This window comes from Homo sapiens, chromosome 11 (assembly GCF_000001405.40).
Source record: "Homo sapiens chromosome 11, GRCh38.p14 Primary Assembly".
In the NCBI taxonomy this organism is placed as follows: Eukaryota; Metazoa; Chordata; class Mammalia; order Primates; family Hominidae; genus Homo; species Homo sapiens.
This window is the reverse complement of record NC_000011.10, coordinates 78,171,026-78,191,172: the sequence shown is the minus strand read 5'-3', so window position 1 is coordinate 78,191,172 and position 20,147 is coordinate 78,171,026. Positions and strand designations below refer to the sequence as shown.

The window sequence follows — 20,147 nt, the reverse complement described above, 5'->3', positions numbered from 1 at the left end:
GTGTGTATGTGTGTGTACACAACTCCTATGCTCAGCCCCACTGCCACGCCCTGGGCCCCCGCTCAAGCTTCATCATCCCTCCTTGGTCTCTCCAGATGCAGCATCGTCAGATGGAGCTTATTACACGGTAAGCACCATTCCGTCCATGCCCCTGCTCAGAACTCTCAACACTCTCCAGCCCCTTGGACCCAGAATAAGGTCCAAACTCCTGAGCCGGACATGCAAGCCCTTTCTGTGACACTCAGCTGATGTGGGGCAGGGGTGGAGATGAACTCAAGCAACATTGTTCAGTGGAGACTCTGCAGACATTGGAGCAGGGGGCTTTTTCCTGACTGCTACTTTGCACAATGTCCCCTCTACTGAAAAAGGGCTTTTCCCTCTTCTCTCCTGGAAAATTCTGACTCACCCTTCAATGCCCAGCTCACATGCCCTCTCCTCTGGGAAGCCTTTCCTTTTCCCTCCACAATTCAAGTGTCTAAAGTTCTGGCCTCCAAGGCCCTCTTAGCTATTCTCATCCCTCTGCAGCATAACTGGAATCCATGTCTCTGTCTCCCACCAGGCTGGGACCTCCCTTGGCAGAGGTCCAATCCCCGTCTCTGAGCCCAGTGCCCAGTACAGAACCAAGGACTGAGGTGTCCGTGAAGGTGCGTCAAGCAACTCATGAGAGACATGTGACAGCAAGATGAGAGAAAACCAAAGATGTAACCACAAAAGTACCTTCCAGAAACTGGCCTAACCTTTGGTCCAGTCACCACCCCCTCCTTTGCCCAGGCCTGGTCTTGCATATCAAAAACCCTGAAAATCTTAAACATCAGTCAAGAAAGCCCCTACAGAGGTCACTGGACTGGACTGAGGCTTTAGCCATTCTAGAAATTGTTCAAACAACCAAAGCAAAAGAAAAAGCACAAAACAAAAACAAAACAAAACAAAACAAAAATCTGTTCCTGGTTAGCCTTCAGGTCAAAAGCTCACAGAATCTCCTAGGACCTGAGAAGAAGGCTTCATGGTGTTACTCAACCTCTCCCTGCTCCAGGTCAGAGCAGCCCCTCCCAGCCTCTGCTCAGCACCTAAGAGCTGAGGAGCACATTTCCTCCCCTCTCTGACCCTCGAAGCCAGCCTCCCTCCTTTGACTCCCCTGGGAGCCAGAGCTTCCTTGGGGGTACCAGGCTGCCCCTCCCGACACCAGGTGGTGCCCTCCATCTCTGGCCCCTCAGGTGTCTGAATGGCAGCATCTCTCTAGGTATTTTTTAACTGAACTTCTACCCAAGGCAACCCTGGGAAGAAGTGCTTCACCCTACTCCGGGAGGCCCATGTCTGGGCCACCAAACTGTCTCCTGGAAAGAAAAAGAAAAAAGGGTTTCACTGGTAAAAAGCAGCTGCTCTTCCTCAAAGGATAAGGAGGAGAGAGAAGGGAAGAAAGCAGGAGCAGCTATTCCTCCTCAGGAACCCACCACACACACCTATCCCTGCGGGGCCACCCCTCACAAACCTGTGAGGGCCGCACTCCACCCCAAGCTTTCTGGAAGGAAGGGCACCAAGCTGACACATCAGGGTCTCCGGTTTGCAAGGGCCAGGGCCGTAAGAGGGGGTTGGGGAGGGTATCCCAGGGCCCAGCACACTGAGAATAGGAAAAGCCCATTCCAAGCAATGGTGGCCTCGGGCCCCCCAGTTTGTGCCACCTCCCTCCCTCCAGTGCACCCGCGCCCAGCCCACGCTTGAGCTGGAGGGCCCCACGAAAAGCCAGCAAGCGAATGTACTAGGTACTGGGTGCGAATGCCCTCTTACCTGAAAGGGGAGGGAGCAGGATCACTTCGACATACAATTGATGAAGGGAGGGGATTAATGCCCAGAGAGGAATAGCTACTCGCCCAAGGTCACACAGTGAGGCCCAGGAGGCCCAGGATGCACCCAGATCTCCCGACTCCCAGCCCTGGGCTCGCAAGTCCAGGGTTCTCGAAAGGCCAGGGTGCAGACACCGCCCCCCAAAGACAGTCACACGCCCCCAACCCCCTTACCTCCCGGACCCCGGTGGGCCAGAGCCGGCTGCTGGGCGGGGCGCTCAGGCCGGGCAGGACGAGGCTGGGCCCGGCTAGGTCAGGGCTGGTCCTCTGCTCCCCCCAGGGTGGGGACGCCCTCAGCCAGGTCCCAGACGGAAGAGATGCTGCTTCCACTGCAAAATCCAGTCTTCCCACCCCGCCTGGCACAAGCCTCTATGTATCCAGGAAGCCCGACTCTGCGGCGCGGCCCCGGGGCTGCGGGATGAAGCATGGGGAGGGGCGAGGTGCGTGAAATGGGGCGGAGCCGGAGCGGGGGCCACCCCGCGAGCTGCCACTCTGACCGCGTCCCCTTTAAGGCCAGCCGGCCGGACACCGGCGGGGACGAGGCGGGGCGCAGAGCAACTCGCTGCAATGCCTCCTGGGAGATGGAGTTCGCTCTCGACGCGCCGAGCTGCGAGGAGCCCAGAGAGAACTACCAGTCCCGGAAGGCAGCGCACAGACCCCGGACCGCCACGCCCCTGGGCTGGGCTCCTACCCTCCGCCCCCCTCGCAAAGCTGCGCTGGCCGCTCGCGGAGGGAGAGGCTGCAGAGCGAGGGCAGGAGGTGGGTGCGGCACGGCCGGGGTCGCGGGGCTCGGGGACTACCGGCGAGGGTACGTGGGCCCACTGAGCACCTGTCTTACCATGAGACTAATCTATCCCAGCCTCGCCATTCCCATCTGTGAAATGGGGATGGCATCGCCTGTGGTGCGGGGGAGGGGGCGCGTTTCGGAGCGAGGTGAGCCGAAGTGGGCAGAGCTCTTAGAGGGGCGGGGCTGTTGGGAGAGCAAGGGCGGATGGTGATAGTCGGAAAAGCCCGGATAATGAGGGTCGGGACTGTGGGAGGAGTCCTTGGTGGGTGGGGCAAGGAGAGGCGGGATCTCTAGGTGGGGGTGGGGCACTTGTCAGGTCGGAGTGGGGGCTGTAGGGCTGGGGAGTGGGTGCGGAACAAGCCGATGAGGCCAGCCTGGGTGAGATTGGGGAAGGAAGGGCGGAGACACAGATGACAGGGAACTTGCCCCGCTCTGGAGAGCCCTGGGCCGGCCGCGCTGTGGCGGCGTGGGCAAAAGCCTGTGATGCATAGAACACCTCCCTTTACTGACTGGAAATAAAGAGTCCATCCCCGAGTTCAGTGCGGCACACCAGTGATCTCATTGACCTCCCACGCCCTGAAAAGTAGAGGCGTCACTATAGCGGTTGACAGGTGAGGAATGTGAGGCTCAGAAAAGCGAAGGGACTTGCCTAAAACCACTCAGGACTCCTTACTTCAAAGACCTTGCTTTTCTCCCTGCACTCGGGGAGGCAGAGGTTTAGCTTGGCGTGGGAGGCAGGAAAGAAAAGTTTTGATGCCCCGACCTTCGCAAATTGTCTGGCAGGACCAGTCCCCCCAACCCTTCCGAATGACAGCCTGTAAGGCAGCCCTCCTATAGTACTGTGAGGATGAAATGAGATGGATTTGAAAGCACGGTGTTTATAAATTACTGTTTGGAGGAGACATAGGAAGAGAGCGGTTTGAAATGGGGTGCTGGTGCCGGAGGAAAAGCACAAGGTGAAGCGTGAGAGTGAGCCGAGAAGGTGAAGGAAAGTTCTGGAAGGGGCTGGGGGATGGTAGTGGTTGTTGGAGGTCTACGCCAGATGAAAGAATACCTTGCCGTGCCAGATTCCGTGGTCTCCTTCTTCCAGCCCACCTTTCTCTCCTCCTGCCTTTTGCGCAGCTCATTCTGGGGTCCCTGTGTCTAGGAAGCACCTTTTCTCTCCTCCCTATGGGTTGTGATGGTAATAGAGCAGCCTTCGGATTTCTTAGAGATATGGACTGGGCAAGACAGAATTATAGACGCAGCTCTTTGATGTGGGGTGGTCAGGAAGAGGAGGTGAAGAAAGGGTAGTCGTCCTAGGGGCTTCAAGGCAAAGAGTCCTTTCTCCGGTGGGGTAAGGTGGGGAAGTCTCCCACTTACTGGAAAACACAGTACTCACTCTGAGCATTGTCTTTTTTGAAATTTACCCAGCCACGTGCTGTCCATTCCCTTACGCAGTGGAAACTCTCCTTGCATTTACTCCCAAGTAATCACCTCGGCCTTGTCACATCCCTTTAGATTCCAGATTGAAAATTGAACAGAGCATTTCAAAATTAAAAAGTTTTGAAAATCCAGGTGGGGAAAATGGATCTGACTAAACAGGAGAGAAATTTCTTCCTCTTCCCCTATTCTACGTGCTTCTGTGGATATAGAAAGGGGCACCCCCAGCCCCAGCAAGGGAGCCAGGCATCCATCTACTTAAGTAAAGTTGGCTGTGGTAAGGGGTTAGACTAAAATTCTCCGCAGATGCAGAGGAGAAGGAATGAATTCCAGCTGAGAGACCTGGCCGATGCATGGGATTTGTCTTCAAGGTCCAGGCAGAGGGGATGGCAGATGCCAAATTGCAGAAGTCGAAGAGGGCCCAGTATGGTTGGTCTGTAAAGTAGGTATATAATAGTATCTACTTAATCTGTGAGATTGAAAGAGATTAACATGTATAGAGTGCCTAGCACGGTAGTAACTGCTCAATAAACGTTAGCCATTATTATTGCCGTTGTAGTGTTTGTTGTTGTTATGATCATCATCATCTGCCCAGGAACGTGCCCAGGGCTGCACAGCTAGTAAGTGGCAGGGGATGATTCAAATGCAAACCCAGGTAATGCCGAATACCATGCATGGTCTGCCCCTACCCCACACAGCCTCTCCAGTTCTTTTCTTTTTTTTTTTTTTTTTTTTTTTTTTTTTTTTTTTTGAGACAGGGTCTTACTCTGTTGCCCAAGCTGGAGTGCAGTGGCGTGATCTCGGCTTGCTGCAGCCTGACCTCCCAGGCTCAAGCGATCCTCCTACCTCAGCCTGTGCAGCTGGGACTGCAAGCACGTGTTACCATGCCCAGCTAATTTTTTTTTTTCTCTATAGAAACGAGGTCTCATTATGTTGTCCAGGTGGTCTCAAACTCCTGAACTCAAGCGATCCTCCCACCTGGGCCTTCCAAGTGCTGGGATTACAGGCATGAGCCACTGAGCCTGGCCTGTCTCCAGTTCTTTCTGCCCATCCTTGACATTTCTGAGGCCCAGGAGTGGCCTCTCTTTGTCAACATTCACAGTGAGTCATGACAGGAGTTTCTTTCCTGCCGAGTTACAGAGATTCTGGGTTCATGATGAGGCAGGAAAAACAAGGCCTGAACAGCCATCTTCTTCCAGGCAGAATCACAGCACAGAAGATAGGCAGACCTGGCCGGGCGCGGTGGCTCACGCCTGTAATCCCAGCACTTTGGGAGGCTGAGGTGGGTGGATCATTTGAGGTCAGGAGCTTGAGACCAGCCTGGCCAACGTGGTGAAACCCCGTCTCTACTAAAAATACAAAAATTAGCCGGGCATGGTGGCACGCACCTGAAATCCCAGCTACTCAGGAGGCTGAGGCAGGAGAATCACTTGAACCTGGGAGGCAGAGGTCGCAGTGAGCCAGGATCACGCCACTGCACTCCAAACTGGGTGACAGAGCGAGACTCTATCTCAAAAAAAAAAAATAGGCCTAGTGGTGTGGTTTCTGTGGGTGGTGGCTCTATCCAGACTGCCCACCCAGGCTTAGATTCTAACTCCTCCACCACTTAGCCCTGGTTGGCATCCTCACCCTTCAAAATTCAGAAACACTTGGGAAGGAAAATTATGAGCTTTTCACACTTCTAAGTAGTAGTAGTAAATCTGTAACTTACTAAATCTGGCGACTTATTGGGGTCTGGCACAATGACTGTAACTTTACATCTATTGGCCCTATGAAGAAGTGTTCTTCCCCCCTCTTTTAAAATACAAATATTTTTAAAATTTTCAAGCTTACATAAAAGCTTAAAGTACAACCCTTAACCTAGATACGCCAAATCACAATTTGCCAATTGTGCTTTTACACAAACACACACTTTTTTGGCCCAATTATTTAAAAGTAAGTTACAGATATGTTGATTGACGTTTGACCCCTAAATTCTTCAACATGTATCCCCTAATAAGGGCGTTCTACTACATAGCCATAATACATTATATGTAATAAGCAAGAAGTCAGTATTACCCAATGTAATAGTTATTCAAAATTTTCTGCCAGGTGCAATGGGTCATGTCTATAACCCCAGCACTTTGGGAAGCAAAGGCAGACAGATTGCTTGAGCCCAGGAGTTCAAGGCCAGCCTGGGCAACATAGTGAAACCCCATCTCTACAAAAACTACAAAATTTAGCATGGTGTGGTAGCGTGCACCTGTAGTCCCAGCTACTTGGGAAAATCACCTGAGCCTGGGGATGTCAAGGCTGCAGTGAACCATGATCGCGCCACTGCACTCCAGCCTGGGCGACAGAGTGAGACCCTGTCTCAAGAAAAAAAAAATTCTAATTGCCCAAAAATACCTTATATAGTTTCTGGTTTTTAAAATCAGATCCAGTCAAGATGTACATATTGCATCCTATTATATCTCTTTTATCAACTCATTTAATCTAAATAGAGCCCCTTGGCATGGTAGCTCATGTCTGTAATCCCAACATTTTGGGAGGCTGAGGTGGGCAGATCACTTGAGGTCAGGAGTTCGAGACCAGCCTGGCCAACATGGTGATACCCCATCTCAAGTAAAAATACAAAAATTAGCCGGACATGGTGGTGTGTGCCTATACTCCCAGCTACTCAGGAGGCTGAGGCAAGAGAATTGCTTGAACTCAGGAGGTGGAGGTTGCAGTGAGCCGAGATTGTGCCACTGCACTCCAGCCTGGGCAACAGAGTGTGACTCTATCTCAAATAAATAAATAAATAAATAAATAGAGCTTCTCCACCTATTTAAATATGTTTGATTGGTTTATCAATGATTAGATTGGGGTTAGATTTAAGTTTTTGGCAATGTGTGTACTTACTGCATGTCAGGAGGATATGATGTCAGGGTCTTACTATCCATGAATGCTAAATTTGATTATTAAGGTCATGGCAACCTGATCTCTCTATCGTAAAGGTAAATTTTTCTCTCTTACAATTAATAAGTAATCTGTGAAGTGATTCTCTGAGTCTGTTATAATTATGTGTTCCTGATAACCTTTCACACCACATCCTTGGATGATCCTTGCTTGAATTACAACACTGAGGGTTGCAAATTGGTAATTTTCTAATTCTGCCATTCCTTCTGTGTTTATTAGTGTTCTTTTTTATAGAATTAATTTTTCCTGGCCGGGTGCGGTGGCTCACGCCTGTAATCCCAGCACTTTGGGAGGCCGAGGCGGGCGGATCACGAGGTCAGGAGATCGAGACCATCCTGGCTAACAAGGTGAAACCCTGTCTCCACTAAAAATACAAAAAATTAGCCGAGCGAGGTGGCGGGCGCCTGTAGTCTCAGCTACTCGGGAGGCTGAGGCAGGAGAATGGCGTGAACCCTGGGAGGCGGAGGTTGCAGTGAGCCGAAATCACACCACTGCACTCCAGCCTGGGCGACAGTGAGACTCCGTCTCAAAAAAAAAAAAAAAGAATTAATTTTTCCTGTCTCTATCTTTCTCACTCCCTTCTTCTCACCCTCTTTTTTCTTTTGGGAATAACATTATGGACTCTTGTTTTTTGTTTGTTTGTTTTTGAGATGGAGTCTCACTCTGTTGCCCTGGCTGGTGTGCAGTGGCACGATCTTGGCTCACTGCAACCTCCACTTCCCAGATTCAAGCGATTCTCCTGCCTCAGCCTCCCAAGTAGCTGGAATAACAGGCGCACGCCACCCCGCCCAGCTATTTTTTGTATTTTTAGTAGAGATGGGGTTTTGCCATGTTAGCCAGGCTGGTCTTGAACTCCAGACCTCAGGTGATCCGCCCGCCTCGGCCTCCCAAAGTGCTGAGATTACAGGCATGAACTACCGCACCCAGCCTGGACTCTTGTTTTGTTGTTGTTGTTTTTTAATTCACTGGGCTATATGAACTCACCTTGAACTTTTCCTGTGAAAGTCCAGGAATCATCAGTTTCTCCAGGAAGCCCTGGTTTCTTTTAGAAGAGATGATGACATTCAGAAACAAAGATCCAGGGCTAGGTGTGTTTATTGCTACTGGGTGTCATTTCTAGGCTCTGTGAGTGAGCAGAGCTAGGAAATGATGGATAGGTGATTGATAGATAGATGATAGATGGACAATTTTCATTACTCAGTACATTTATTGTTACAACAGCTAGTCCCCACTGACAGGATTGCATGGTAAGTCATTTCATTATGGAAGTAATGCTCATTATGGAAGTGGACAGTAATGTAGGAAAAAAGGAAATTGCACAGAAAAGAGCTCTTGCCTACTCCAGGTCGCCATGAGTATACAGACTGTTGGCTAGGACCTCTGTGGCTGGGTTCAGCTTCCTGCCGAAGACGTCTAAAGGACTGGTTCTCTGAAGGGTGTCCAAACCAGAACTTCCCAGAGGCCATGACTCTGAGGTCAAGAATCCACATGAAGCCCTGGGCAAGGGATTCACGCTCTTTGGGTCTGCTTTAGGTTGTCTTTGAAACAAAGACAATGTAATCGGTCCTGCCTGGGTCCCAGAGTTGTAAGGATCAATATATTTATCAATATGTTTATTTTTAAACATTGCTAGTTGTGTCTCTTCACATTTATTACCAAATTCCTTCTCTTCTCATTGTTTTAAAACCACAGAGGGAAATGTCATTGCTTTATAATCTAGTTTAATACATTGCGCTAAGATGTCTTATTCAAATACTCTTTCAGGTTATCAGTCATCAGTGCTTCCAGATTAAAATTTTAATTATTTAAATCTTTTTTGAAAAATACTATTGGGATTTGGATTAGGATAGCATAACAACTATAATTAATTTTGAGGGGGGGGGGGTGCTTTGGGATAAGGCCTGGCTCTGTCACCCAAACCAGAGTGCAGTGGCACAGTCTTGGCTCACTGCAACCTCCACCTACTGGGACAAAACCAATTATTAAAATAGAAGAAGTTCCTATAGCTATTATCACTTGGGAAATTACACAGTTTTTAGCCCTGGCCAACAGCTGGGGACAAATCTAAAATGTATATTGCTTATTATATCACAGTATCACACAACCCCTCCCCTGAGTGCAAGGCGGTGACTATGCAGACGTGAGACATGCAGTTGCTCTCAGCTCACAAACTAGGCAGTGGTTTCCAAAAAAAATTGTTTTGTCAGCCACAGTATGAAGATACCATGATCCAGTTCATAGACACACAACTGAAACAAAAGTTTCACAACAATATATAATTGGTTACAACCCACTTAACTGTATTGATGTCATGACTTGCCAATAGGTCACAACCTTCATTTTTTTTCCTGTTTATGGAGGTAAAACTTAAGTATGGTAAAATTTACACTTTTTTTTTAATTGAGACAGGGGTCTTACTATGTTTTCCAGGCTGGTCTTGAACTCCTGGGCTCAAGTGACCCTCCTGCCTCGGCCTCTCAAAGTACTGGGATTATAGGCATGAACCACCACAGCTGGCCACAATTCACCCTTTTAGATGTGTATGGTTACATGAATTTTGACAGTCTTTATAAACACATTTGACCACCACCACATCATATTACTTTTGTGCCAACCTAATAGAATATTCCCATCACTCCAAAATATGCCTTGTGTTTCTTTGTAACCAGTCTTTTCCCTCCAACCCAGCCCCAAGAATTCACTTAATCTGATTTCTGTCTTTATAGTTTTGCCTTTGCCAGAACGTTATACAGATAGAGTCATGTACCATGTAACCTTCTGAGGCTGGCTTCTTTCACTTGACGTAATGCTTTTGAAATTCATGTATGTGGTAATGTCTTTTAGTAGTTCCTATATATTGCTGAGTCATATTCTATTGTATGGATGTACTGCAATTTATCTGTTTACAATTAGTTGTTTCTGAGTTTGGGCAATTATGAATAAGCTGCCATAAACATTCACATATGAGTCTTTGCATGGACATATGTCTCCATTTCTCCGGCATAAATACCTAGGAGTAGGGTCATTGGGTCACGTGATAATTGTATGCTGTATTAGTCCATTCTCACACTGCTAATAACAACATACCCCAGACTGGCTAATTTACAAAGGAAAGAGGTTTAATTGACTCACGGTTCCACAGGACTAGGGAGGCCTCAGGAAACTTAAAATAATGGTGGAAGGGGAAGCAAACATGTCTTTCTTCACATGGCAGCAGCAAGGAGAAGTGCCAAGCGAAGGGGGAAACCCCTTATAAAACCATCAGATCTCTTAAGAACTCACTATCACAAGAACAGCATGAGGAAAACCGCCCCAATGATTCAATCATCTCCACCTAGTCCTGCCCTTGACACATGGGGATTATTACAATTCAAGGTGAGATTTGGGTGGGGACACAGAGCCAAACCATACCATATGTCAAACTATTTTCAACAGCGGTTACCATTTGTCAGCAGTGTATGAGGTTTCCATTGTTCTATGTACTCACCTTCAATTGGCATTGTCAGTTTTTATATGAGCCACTAATAGGTATATAGTAGCATATAATTGTGGTTTCAATTTTCATACTCTCATGACTGATGATATTGACCATCTTTTCATGTGATTGTCAGTCATCTGCATATCTTCTTTGCTGGAGTATTTGTTAGATCTTTTGTCTAGTTGTTTTGTTTTTGTTTTTGTTTAAGTAGAGATAGGGTTTCACCATGTCGGCCAGGCTGTTCTTGAACTCCTGGCCTCAAGTGATCTGCCCGCCTCAGCCTCCCAAAGTGCTGGGATTACAGGCATGTGCCACTGCACCCAGCTTTATGTGTTTTTTAATTGGGTTATTTTCTTACTGAGTTTTGAGAGTTCTTTATATATTCTGGTTAACAATCCTTTATCAGATAGGTGTTTTGCAAATATTTTCTCCATCTGTGTCTTATTCTTTCATTTTCTTAACAGTGTCTTTTGAAGAGCAGAAGTTTTTTACGTGGATGAAGTCTAGTTTATTGATGTTTTTAATGGTTTGTCCCTTTTAGGTCCTATCCAAGAAATCTTTGCCTAATCCACAGTTGCAAAGATTTTCTCCTAGAAGTTGTGTAGTTTTAGATTTTATATTTAGGTCTATGATATGTTCTGAGTTTATTTTTCATAAACAGCATAAGAGATGGACCAAGGTTCTTTTTTTCCCCATATGGATGTCCACTGATCTGCATTTTGAGATAGCCAGGGAAGAGGGCCATGTGCAAAGGAGATCGCTGCAGGTGGAATGCTGGGTGCTGCCAGAGGGGGTTGTGCAAGGCACCAGGAAGCCCTGAGAGGAGAGCTGTTAACCTAGTGGAGATCTGGGGACAGTAGTACAGAGGTGATGACTCATAGGCTGGGCCTGAAAGGTAGACAGCAGAGAGGGTAGAGAAGGTAGACAGGGGTGGTCTAGGGACAGCAAAGGCAGGGCAGGTGTCAGCATGAAGGAGACTGACTCAGTGGCGTCTGGCGTGCGTGGAGGGCAGGGTTAGACATGAGAGGGAAAGAGGAAGGTGGTTGGGCAGGGACGGTACTTCAGGAAGGTCAGTCTGCAGACCAGAAAGGAAGGTGGACAGAAGGCAGGGAGCCGAGTGAGGATGTAGGGGTGCAGGGGGCAGGGATGAGGCCTGAGCTCTGGGAGTAGCTATAGGGATGGGTTCAAGGAGATAGTCAAGACAAACTGTAGGGCTGAAGAGTCGGGGCTGCTTCCCTCAGGCAGTTGGGTGGCTCAGAAGAGTTCACAGCAGAGTTAGGGGCAGAGGAAGGCACAGGTGAGGCTTCTGGTACCTGTGTTACTGGTGGAGGGTCTTGACTAGGAATTTTCCAGGTCCTTGGCGTTTTGAACAAAGTAGCAGAGGGGCAGACGTGGTAATCCCCACACTTTGGGAGGCCTGGATGGGCAGATCACTTGAGGTCAGTCCAAGACCGGCCTGGCCAACGTGGTGAAACCCGTCTCTACTAAAAAAAAAAAAAGTAAAAATAAAAAGAGTAGCAGGGGAATGAAATGCAGGAATGAAGCAGTGAAAGCAGGAATTAAAGTGAGAAAGCACTCCTCAGGGTGGGAGTGGGCCGGAGCAAGGAACTCAAAGGCCCAGTTACAAAGTTCTCTGGGCTTTAGGTACCCCATTTGAGGTTCTTATCAGCTACTCCTTATCTGGACGAAGGATTTAGTCTGTGGCTAATTAAAGGCTGAGGTGAATGGGCACCCTATGCAGATAAAGGGATGGTCCCAATCCAAGGCCCCCCTCCCTTTCCACCTGAGACATGGTGGAGTGGGAGGGTTGCAAAGAGGAGCGTTTGATCCTTTGTCACCCAGCTGGGGCGATGGCGTTTTTCCTCTTGGTTCAGCTTTAGGAATTTGGTGTTAATTGGTCTTAGGGTCCCTGCCCCCAGACCCAGGATTTTCCTTCTGATCCAGCTTTGGGAAGTCAACAGAATTGGCCTCAGATTTTTTGCCCCAGACCTTGGTGTTTTCTCTTTTATGAAGTTAGCACAAATTGGCCTTAAGTTCCTTGTCTCCAAACCTTGTTCTCCTGCCTCACTTGCAGAATATCCAAGTGGAGGTGGCCAGGAGGCATCTGGGAACACATAGGGGACTGAGGCTCAGTGGTGTTAGTTCATTACTACCTGACTGCAAACCTCCGCCGACTCATGAAACTCCCCTCGTGTCATGTCATTTTGCCTTTTGTAGCAGGGCCGTGGATTTGTGATGATGGACACTGTGGCCCTGTGGCTAGAAAATAGGGGCTTAGACCAGGCACGGTGGCTCACGCCTGTAATCCCAGCACTTTGGGAGGCCGAGGCGGGCAGATCACAAAGTCAAGAGATCGAGACCATCCTGGCCAACATGGTGAAATCCCATCTCTACTAAAAATACAAAAATAAATTAGCCGGGCCTGGTGGCGTGCACCTGTAATTGCAGCTACCCGGGAGGCTGAGGCAGGAGTGTCGCTTGAATCTGGGAGGCAGAGGTTGCAGTGAGCTGAGATTGCGTCACTGCACTCTAGCCTGGCGACAGAGCGAGACTCCATCTCAAAAAAAAAAAAAGAAAAGAAGGGCTTAGAGGACTGAGCTCTGTGACTGGATAGGTAAGGGGAGATCACCACAGAGAGCACCCTAGACTCGGAGCAGGAGACCTGCCTGCTAGCCAGCCTCTGCCCTGACTGCCTGTGCAACTGTGCTGCTCTCCCCAGACAAATGACCGGGAGCCATGACGTCATCGGGGGCGCAGGAAAGCAGGTGCTCTGCTGCTTTTGCAAGCAGAGAAATAAGAGTTTGGGCACCTACCCAGGGGTCCCAGGGAATGCCCTGTGGCTCCTGACCTCCCCCGCCTGTAATGCTCTGAGCACTTCAGCAGTAATGCATGGAAGAGATAAGGGTCTGTGACCCATGGAACTGTCCAAGTCCTCTCTGACACCCGCTTCTTTTCCTGCCGTGAAGGTAAGCCACTTTATAGATCCTAGGCCTGAAACCCAATGTTGGGAGGGAGTGTTTGTTTTCAAGAAGAAAGAGAGACTGAAACTAGAACATGCACATTTCTATCCAGAAGAAAACAGTTGGAGTAGACTAGAGTCCTACAAAGAGGGCAACAGGGAAGAAGATTCTGGACTGAGTAAAGGGGACCCACTCCTGGGTCCACCTCCTGCCTGGGCCCTCTGGAGAGAGAATTGGCCAGATTCAGCCCTGAGTCACAGCACCCTCCCCAGTTGCTGCCTCACAGCCATCTCCACACCAGCAGCCATGCCCCCAGCGGCAGCTCGCCCACACCTCTGTGGGACCTCCCCACCGTCTCGCAGCCCATCTGCTCCAGGCTTCTACTGACGATTTCGTATTTCACATGGACTCATTTCTCCTCAGACACTCCAGATGGGGAATGCCTTTCTGCAATATCAAAGTGCCCCATTAGACTGGGGAGGAATCATGAGGGGACATACCCCTGCCCCTGCCACAGAGTCGAGCATGGCAGCTGAATATCTCTCACACTGGCATGGCCCCCATCCTCTGGAGAAAGGAGGCCTCAGTGCAGTCAGCCTCTTCAGGAGGCAGAAATGTTGAGAAGTTCTCGCCACCCCTGCTGGGTGACTTTGGGGAGGTGTCTCCTCAGACCTCTGTTTCTCCATCTGGACGGTAAGCATGCTTGAAAGGTTGGGTTTTTGTTTGTTTTTTGAGACCGGATCTCCCTCTGTCTGCCAGGCTGGAGTTCTGTGGCGTAATCACGGCTCACTGCAGCCTCAACCTCCCAGACTCAAGCGATCCTCCCACCTCAGCCTCCCAAGTAGTTGGGACTACAGGTGCTCGCCACCACACCCTGCTTTGTTGTTGTTGTTGTTGTTGTTGTTGTTGTTGTTGTAGAGACAGGATTTCGTCATGTTGGCCAGGCTGGCCTTGAACTCCTGAGCTCAAACGATCTGCCCACCTCGGCCTCCCAAAGTGCTGGAATTACAGGCATGAGCCACTGTGTCTGCCAGCCAGATAGTTTTTGATGTGCCAAGGTTCATTCCAGACCATCTCCCACATCTTCTACCTGTCTTGTCACTGTGCCTTTACTCTCTCATCTCCTCTACCAGCACAGGCTCTTCTGGGGGTAATACTGGGGCCAGTTCCTCTTGGCATCCCTACCTGCCATGTCAGGGAAGGATTGCTGAATCTGGTCCACAGGTTGGCTCTGGGGAAAGTATAGTGTTGGAAGCTGGAGCTGAGATCTCCTGTTTTCTAGAACATGTGGTGAAGGAGACTTGCCAGCCATAGATGCTGACAGCTGAGAGATTAGGGGGGCTTTGTTAAGGAGTGGATAGGGTGCCTTCAGGAGAGTGCTCTGACAGAGTCCTGCATTTGCACTGACCTTGCAGCCAGTTTCAGAGAAGCTTGGGGTGTTATGACAGCAAAGGACAGGCCACCAGGAGCCAAGAGCATCTTCATGGCAAGGCAAGTCAGCATGGGAGCAGTGAAAGTCTAGAAAGGATTGTCATTCACATGCACACGTATGTTTATTGCGGCACTATTCACAGTAGCAAAGACTTGGAACCAACCCAAATGTCCAACAATGATAGACTGGATTAAGAAAATGTGGCACATATACACCATGGAATACTATGCAGCCATAAAAAATGATGAGTTCATGTCCTTTGTAGGGACATGGATGAAATTGGAAATAATCATTCTCAGTAAAGACTACTGCAAGGACAAAAAACCAAACACCGCATGTTCTCACTCATAGGTGGGAATTGAACAATGAGAACACATGGACACAGGAAGGGGAACATCACACTCTGGGGACTGTTGTGGGGTAGGGGGAGGGGAGAGGGATAGCATTAGGAGATATACCTAATGCTAAATGACGAGTTAATGGGTGCAGCACACCAGCATGGCGCATGTATACATATGTAACTAACCTGCACATTGTGCACATGTACCCTAAAACTTTAATAATAATAAAATTTAAAAAAATTTAAAAAAAACAGGATTGTCATTTGCAGTCCGGACAGCTGAGTGACCCACTGTGGGCCTTGAAGATAGATGGAAATGACACTAATCATGGCCATTCATTGTCAAATCTTTGAGAGAGAATAATAATTAAATTCAGCAGTGTCACTGGTACAGAAGGAGGAGCACTGAGCCTGGAGTCATAAATCTCAAACCATTTGTTGAGTACTTAGAACCGATCTTTGGCTAGTAAGCATTTACACATTTTTCTTTCATATAAAAGGACCTGAGTTTGAATCCTGGCAAGGCACTTCACCTTTCTGAGCTTGAGGAATGAATCCTGGCACAGTTTTCCTCATCTGCACAACAGGAATGGATGATTATATTGTCTGTGTCAAAAGATGATACAACCTTTTTTTTTTTTTTTTTTTTGAGACAGAGTTTCACTCTTGTTGTCCAGGCTGGAGTGCAGTTGTTCAGTCCCGGCTCACTGCAACCTCCACCTCCTGAGTTCAAATGATTCTCCTGCCCCAGCCTCCTGAACAGCTGGGATTACAGGCACCCACCACCATGCCCAGCTAATTTTTGTATTTTTAGTAGAGATGGGGTTTCACCATGTTGGCCAGTCTGATCTTGAACTCCTGATCTCAGGTGATCTGCCCGCCTCGGCCTCCCTAAGTGCTGGGATTACAGGTGTGAGCCACCGCACCTGGCTGATACAACTATTATGTAAGCAAATATATGTATAAACACGTAGCATAGCTTTCAGTCCAGGCACGTTTTCCTTTCTTTCTTTAGACCAGTGGTTCTCTATTCTAACTGAACATTTAGAATCACTAAGGGAACTCTTTCAAAATACCAGGGCTGGGGCAGTATTCCAGACCAATTAAAATAGAATGTCGGCAGCAGAGGGGGGCGCGGGGGACCCAGGCTTTAGGGGTCCTTCCCTTTCTTTCCCTGTTTCCTTTTTCCTTTCCTTTTCCCTTTCTCCTTTCCCTCTCCCTAGTGAAGCTAATGTACTTTGCACAGTGTTAGCAATTATCACCCATTCATCAGGTATTAATTCATTTCGATCCCAAGGGCATAGGCTTGATGTACAATAAGGAGTTAAGGACTGTGAGTTCTCTGATAAGGTTTGGTTATAGTCATTTCTCACTTCTCACCCTCTCCAGGACTACTTCCAGCAACCCAGTCTCCTGCCATGTCCGACCCCATCACGCTGAACGTCGGGGGGAAGCTCTATACAACCTCACTGGCGACCCTGACCAGCTTCCCTGACTCCATGCTAGGCGCCATGTTCAGCGGGAAGATGCCCACCAAGAGGGACAGCCAGGGCAACTGCTTCATTGACCGTGACGGCAAAGTGTTCCGCTATATCCTCAACTTCCTGCGGACCTCCCACCTTGACCTGCCTGAGGACTTCCAGGAGATGGGGCTGCTCCGCAGGGAGGCCGACTTCTACCAGGTGCAGCCCCTGATTGAGGCCCTGCAGGAGAAGGAAGTGGAGCTCTCCAAGGCCGAGAAGAATGCCATGCTCAACATCACACTGAACCAGCGTGTGCAGACGGTCCACTTCACTGTGCGCGAGGCACCCCAGATCTACAGCCTCTCCTCTTCCAGCATGGAGGTCTTCAACGCCAACATCTTCAGCACCTCCTGCCTCTTCCTCAAGCTCCTTGGCTCTAAGCTCTTCTACTGCTCCAATGGCAATCTCTCCTCCATCACCAGCCACTTGCAGGACCCCAACCACCTGACTCTGGACTGGGTGGCCAATGTGGAGGGCCTGCCAGAGGAGGAGTACACCAAGCAGAACCTCAAGAGGCTCTGGGTGGTGCCCGCCAACAAGCAGATCAACAGCTTCCAGGTCTTCGTGGAAGAGGTACTGAAAATCGCTCTGAGCGATGGCTTCTGCATCGATTCTTCTCACCCACATGCTCTGGATTTTATGAACAATAAGATTATTCGATTAATACGGTACAGGTAAAAGGACCCCAACAACACTGGAGATGGGGAGTCCCAGGAAGCTCATGTCAGCCAGGTCTTGGAGGGCATCTCGCCAGTGGTGCGAGGCAGGGGACTATACTAATCTGTATTAATTGTGTAGCAGGACTTGATTCCCCCCATGATGAAGTCCACCTTTTGGAATCCAGTGTCCTCTGAACAGAACCACCTTTTTTCTTGCCATTTTGAGCTGCAGACAGGCGGTTTATTATGACAAGTGAAGAGTCAGCTGATGTGTACTAAAGGAGGCCATAGGAGGATTTTCCAGCCAGGACAAAAGAGCAGCAGTTTTCTCCTGGGCTCCATCTCTCTGTACCGCTAGCCAGTGCCGCATTTATCCATCTGTAAGAAGGCCCTGGTGGAGAGGATGGGATGAGAACAAGAGGCTACCTCCAGTTAACCAGGACATAAAGTCCCCAGCGGTTCCTGTCACACCTGCTCCTCCCTCCCCAGGGTGCATCCATGATCGTGGATGTTTGCCCAGGGGTGACCATGTTTGGCTGGCTTGGAATGCTGTGCATTCTCAGAGCTCTGTTAGTGTCCCCTCTTGGGGGTCAGAGATGAGGTGTGGCAGGGTCTAGAGGAATGAGTGTCCAGGCAGAGTTCAGAAGGTAGGAATGTCCCTCTTGATAGGGCTGAATCAAGGGATTCCTGGCTTTAGAAAGGGTCTGCTATCTTTGCAAAAATGTGCAAGTATCTGTAGCCAGTGTAATGAAATCACTTCCAAATCCAGCCTGTTACCTGACTTTTGTCATTGTTTTCCCAAAAATTTGAGGTATCATTGAAACAGGTCATTTTAAACAAATCTATTACGGATTCTCAGGGTTGGAAATAATTCGATGATTGCTTAGTCCTCCCCCACCCCTAGAACACCCCAGCACATCTGAAGATGAGCGCCTCTCCCTGGGTACCTGCAAGTGATCACCTTGGCCTGCTTGCATACCTTGGCTGATAGGAAGCGCGCCATCCCCAAGGCAGCTCCTGCTGTGGTTGGACAGTGCTGACTGTTAGACAGTTCTTCCCTATATTGAGCCAAAATCTGTCCTGCCACTTGCTGGATCTTGGTTGCAGACCTTCCCATTCACCCAGTTATATATCTTTGCTTTCAAAATAGTCACCTTGAGAGACCAGACATTTTTCTGAAAACATCATTACTCAGAATTCAGATTCCCCTCTGGGATCTGTCTTCAGAATCAAAGTTAGCTCTTTTCTATCCCCTGTAAGTCAGTCCCCTTTTGTTGTAGCTTCACCTCGTTTGTGACCCCCACTTCACCCACCTTCCCCACCATCTGTGGCTCCATATACCTTTCGACCATTTTCTGCTGGAAGAGGAAGATTCACGGCCCCTGAGGAGATCCAGAGGAAAGAGACGGTCTCCAAGGGTGCTGTGCAGCAAGGAGCCCAGGAGTGGTATGAACCGTAACAGTGCCCTTAGAGTAAATGTGCGGCCCCTAAGACCCTGCCCTCAGGAAGGCGGCCTTCCCCTGCAGTCCTGTGTCCCACCCCTGGGTCTCTGTAGGGTGCCATCCAGGGCAAGCAACCCAAGCACTGCTTCCCACCGGGTGATGAGCCATGCAGGCCTCCAAACTGCACGTCATGATTCATCCCTAAAGTGAGTTTGGCCTTGAGAGTCCCCAGGGTCCTCCCCCACTGGGCAGGGGTCCTCAAAGCCAAGGAAGCCTGGTGACACAGGCACCCATGGGAGGTGGGCCCAGAAAGGGGCTTCCCATAGATAGGCCCTGTGAGTAGGGAGCTTGTACACTGGGCCATGGGCAGCGCCAGTTCCCTTGAGCAGTAAAGGCCCTTTTCCCCCTACGGTGGGACCCAGGAGTCTCTCTGACAGCTTTTCTGCCAGGCACAGTGGCTCATGCCTGTAATCCCAACACTCTGGGAGGCCGAGGCGGGAAGATCACTTGAGGTCAGGAGTTCAAGACCAGCCTGGCCAACATGGTGAAACGTCGTCTCTGCTAAAAATACAAAAATTAGCTGGGTGTGGTGACAGGCGCCTATAACCCCAGCTATTTGGGAGGCTGAGGCAGTAGAATCGCTTGAACCCAGATAGCAGAGGTTGCAGTGAGCTGAGAGTGTGCCATTGCAGAGAGACTCCATCCCAAAAAAAGACAGCTGTCCCAGGCCAAGGGTACTTGGGAGAGCCCCTCATGGAGAACCTAGTTTAGACCAAGTAGCAGAAGCTGTGGTCATAACAAAACAATTTGAGGAAGAAATCTTACAAATCACCACTGCCCTTTCTCCTTTTCCATAAAACTGTCCATCTTTTCGGTGCTCCCTAATCCAAGCAGCTTGACTTTAGAGAAGTTGCAGAAGCAGTGAAGCCACTAACATGCTGTGTGACTTTATGCAAGTCACTCACCTCACTGAGCCACCTCCATTTCTTCATCTGTGAAATAGGCATAACAGTAATACATAACCCTACCTACCTCACAGGGCTGTTGTGAGGATCAAATGAAATAATGTAACGTGAGAATACAGTATAAATGATAAAGGATTGTTATTCTTTTGTGTCTGCTTGTAACGGGGAAAAACACTGGTCTTGAGTCACAGTGACTTGGGTTTGAATCCAGAGCTCCAAGCCTCTGTAACCTTGGACAAGTCATTGAACTTCTCTGATTTGTTTGCTCATCAGGTAACAACCCCTTCCTCCCGGGGTTATGCAACTTAAACGAGTTGGTGTCTGTGAAAATCCTGAGCTGGGCCTGGCACCCAAGAGC

General features: G+C 49.2%; 2 protein-coding genes and 1 long non-coding RNA gene across 11 annotated transcripts in view, besides 4 other annotated features; 1 reads left to right on the top strand and 2 right to left on the bottom strand.

The window, feature by feature from the left end:
- USP35 (ubiquitin specific peptidase 35) overlaps positions 1-2,254 on the bottom strand; it is a 48,301-nt gene extending 46,047 nt beyond the window's left edge. For all 5 annotated transcript variants that reach the window (XR_001747930.2, XM_047427335.1, XM_047427334.1 and 2 more), the window contains exon 1: positions 2,016-2,254. The gene's annotated coding sequence lies outside the window, so the exon portion shown is untranslated. The remainder of the gene's footprint in view (positions 1-2,015) is intronic.
- Positions 1,901-2,060: a silencer, noted in NCBI's record as "silent region_3809". NCBI's record gives its function as "represses an Ori minimal core promoter by ATAC-STARR-seq in GM12878 lymphoblastoid cells {active_cell/tissue: GM12878}" and the evidence as "EXISTENCE:reporter gene assay evidence [ECO:0000049][PMID:35858748]".
- Positions 2,491-2,830: a silencer, noted in NCBI's record as "silent region_3808". NCBI's record gives its function as "represses an Ori minimal core promoter by ATAC-STARR-seq in GM12878 lymphoblastoid cells {active_cell/tissue: GM12878}" and the evidence as "EXISTENCE:reporter gene assay evidence [ECO:0000049][PMID:35858748]".
- KCTD21 (potassium channel tetramerization domain containing 21) lies at positions 2,547-19,924 on the top strand. 4 transcript variants are annotated; one of them, XM_006718517.3, is made up of 3 exons: positions 2,547-2,600; positions 13,188-13,434; positions 16,590-19,924. In XM_006718517.3, exon 3 carries the CDS (start codon positions 16,619-16,621, stop codon positions 17,399-17,401), a length of 783 nt encoding a protein of 260 aa, XP_006718580.1. In that variant the 5' UTR covers positions 2,547-2,600; positions 13,188-13,434; positions 16,590-16,618; the 3' UTR covers positions 17,402-19,924. The 4 variants fall into 4 exon arrangements, with proteins under 4 accessions (XP_006718580.1, XP_047282759.1, NP_001025030.1 ...); XM_047426803.1 differs by having other exon boundaries at positions 13,188-14,121; NM_001029859.3 differs by lacking the exon at positions 13,188-13,434.
- Positions 11,227-11,726: an enhancer, noted in NCBI's record as "H3K27ac hESC enhancer chr11:77890493-77890992 (GRCh37/hg19 assembly coordinates)". NCBI's record gives its function as "activates a minimal SCP1, AML or CMV promoter by ChIP-STARR-seq in naive H9 embryonic stem cells {active_cell/tissue: H9 hESC(naive)}" and the evidence as "EXISTENCE:reporter gene assay evidence [ECO:0000049][PMID:30033119]".
- Positions 16,833-17,334: an enhancer, noted in NCBI's record as "H3K4me1 hESC enhancer chr11:77884885-77885386 (GRCh37/hg19 assembly coordinates)". NCBI's record gives its function as "activates a minimal SCP1, AML or CMV promoter by ChIP-STARR-seq in naive H9 embryonic stem cells {active_cell/tissue: H9 hESC(naive)}" and the evidence as "EXISTENCE:reporter gene assay evidence [ECO:0000049][PMID:30033119]".
- KCTD21-AS1 (KCTD21 antisense RNA 1) overlaps positions 17,196-20,147 on the bottom strand; it is a 34,185-nt gene continuing 31,233 nt past the window's right edge. The window contains exon 4 of one of the 2 annotated variants that reach the window (NR_102280.1): positions 17,196-17,773. This is a non-coding gene — a long non-coding RNA (KCTD21 antisense RNA 1). The remainder of the gene's footprint in view (positions 17,774-20,147) is intronic. The other variant, NR_102281.1, reaches the window with a different exon arrangement.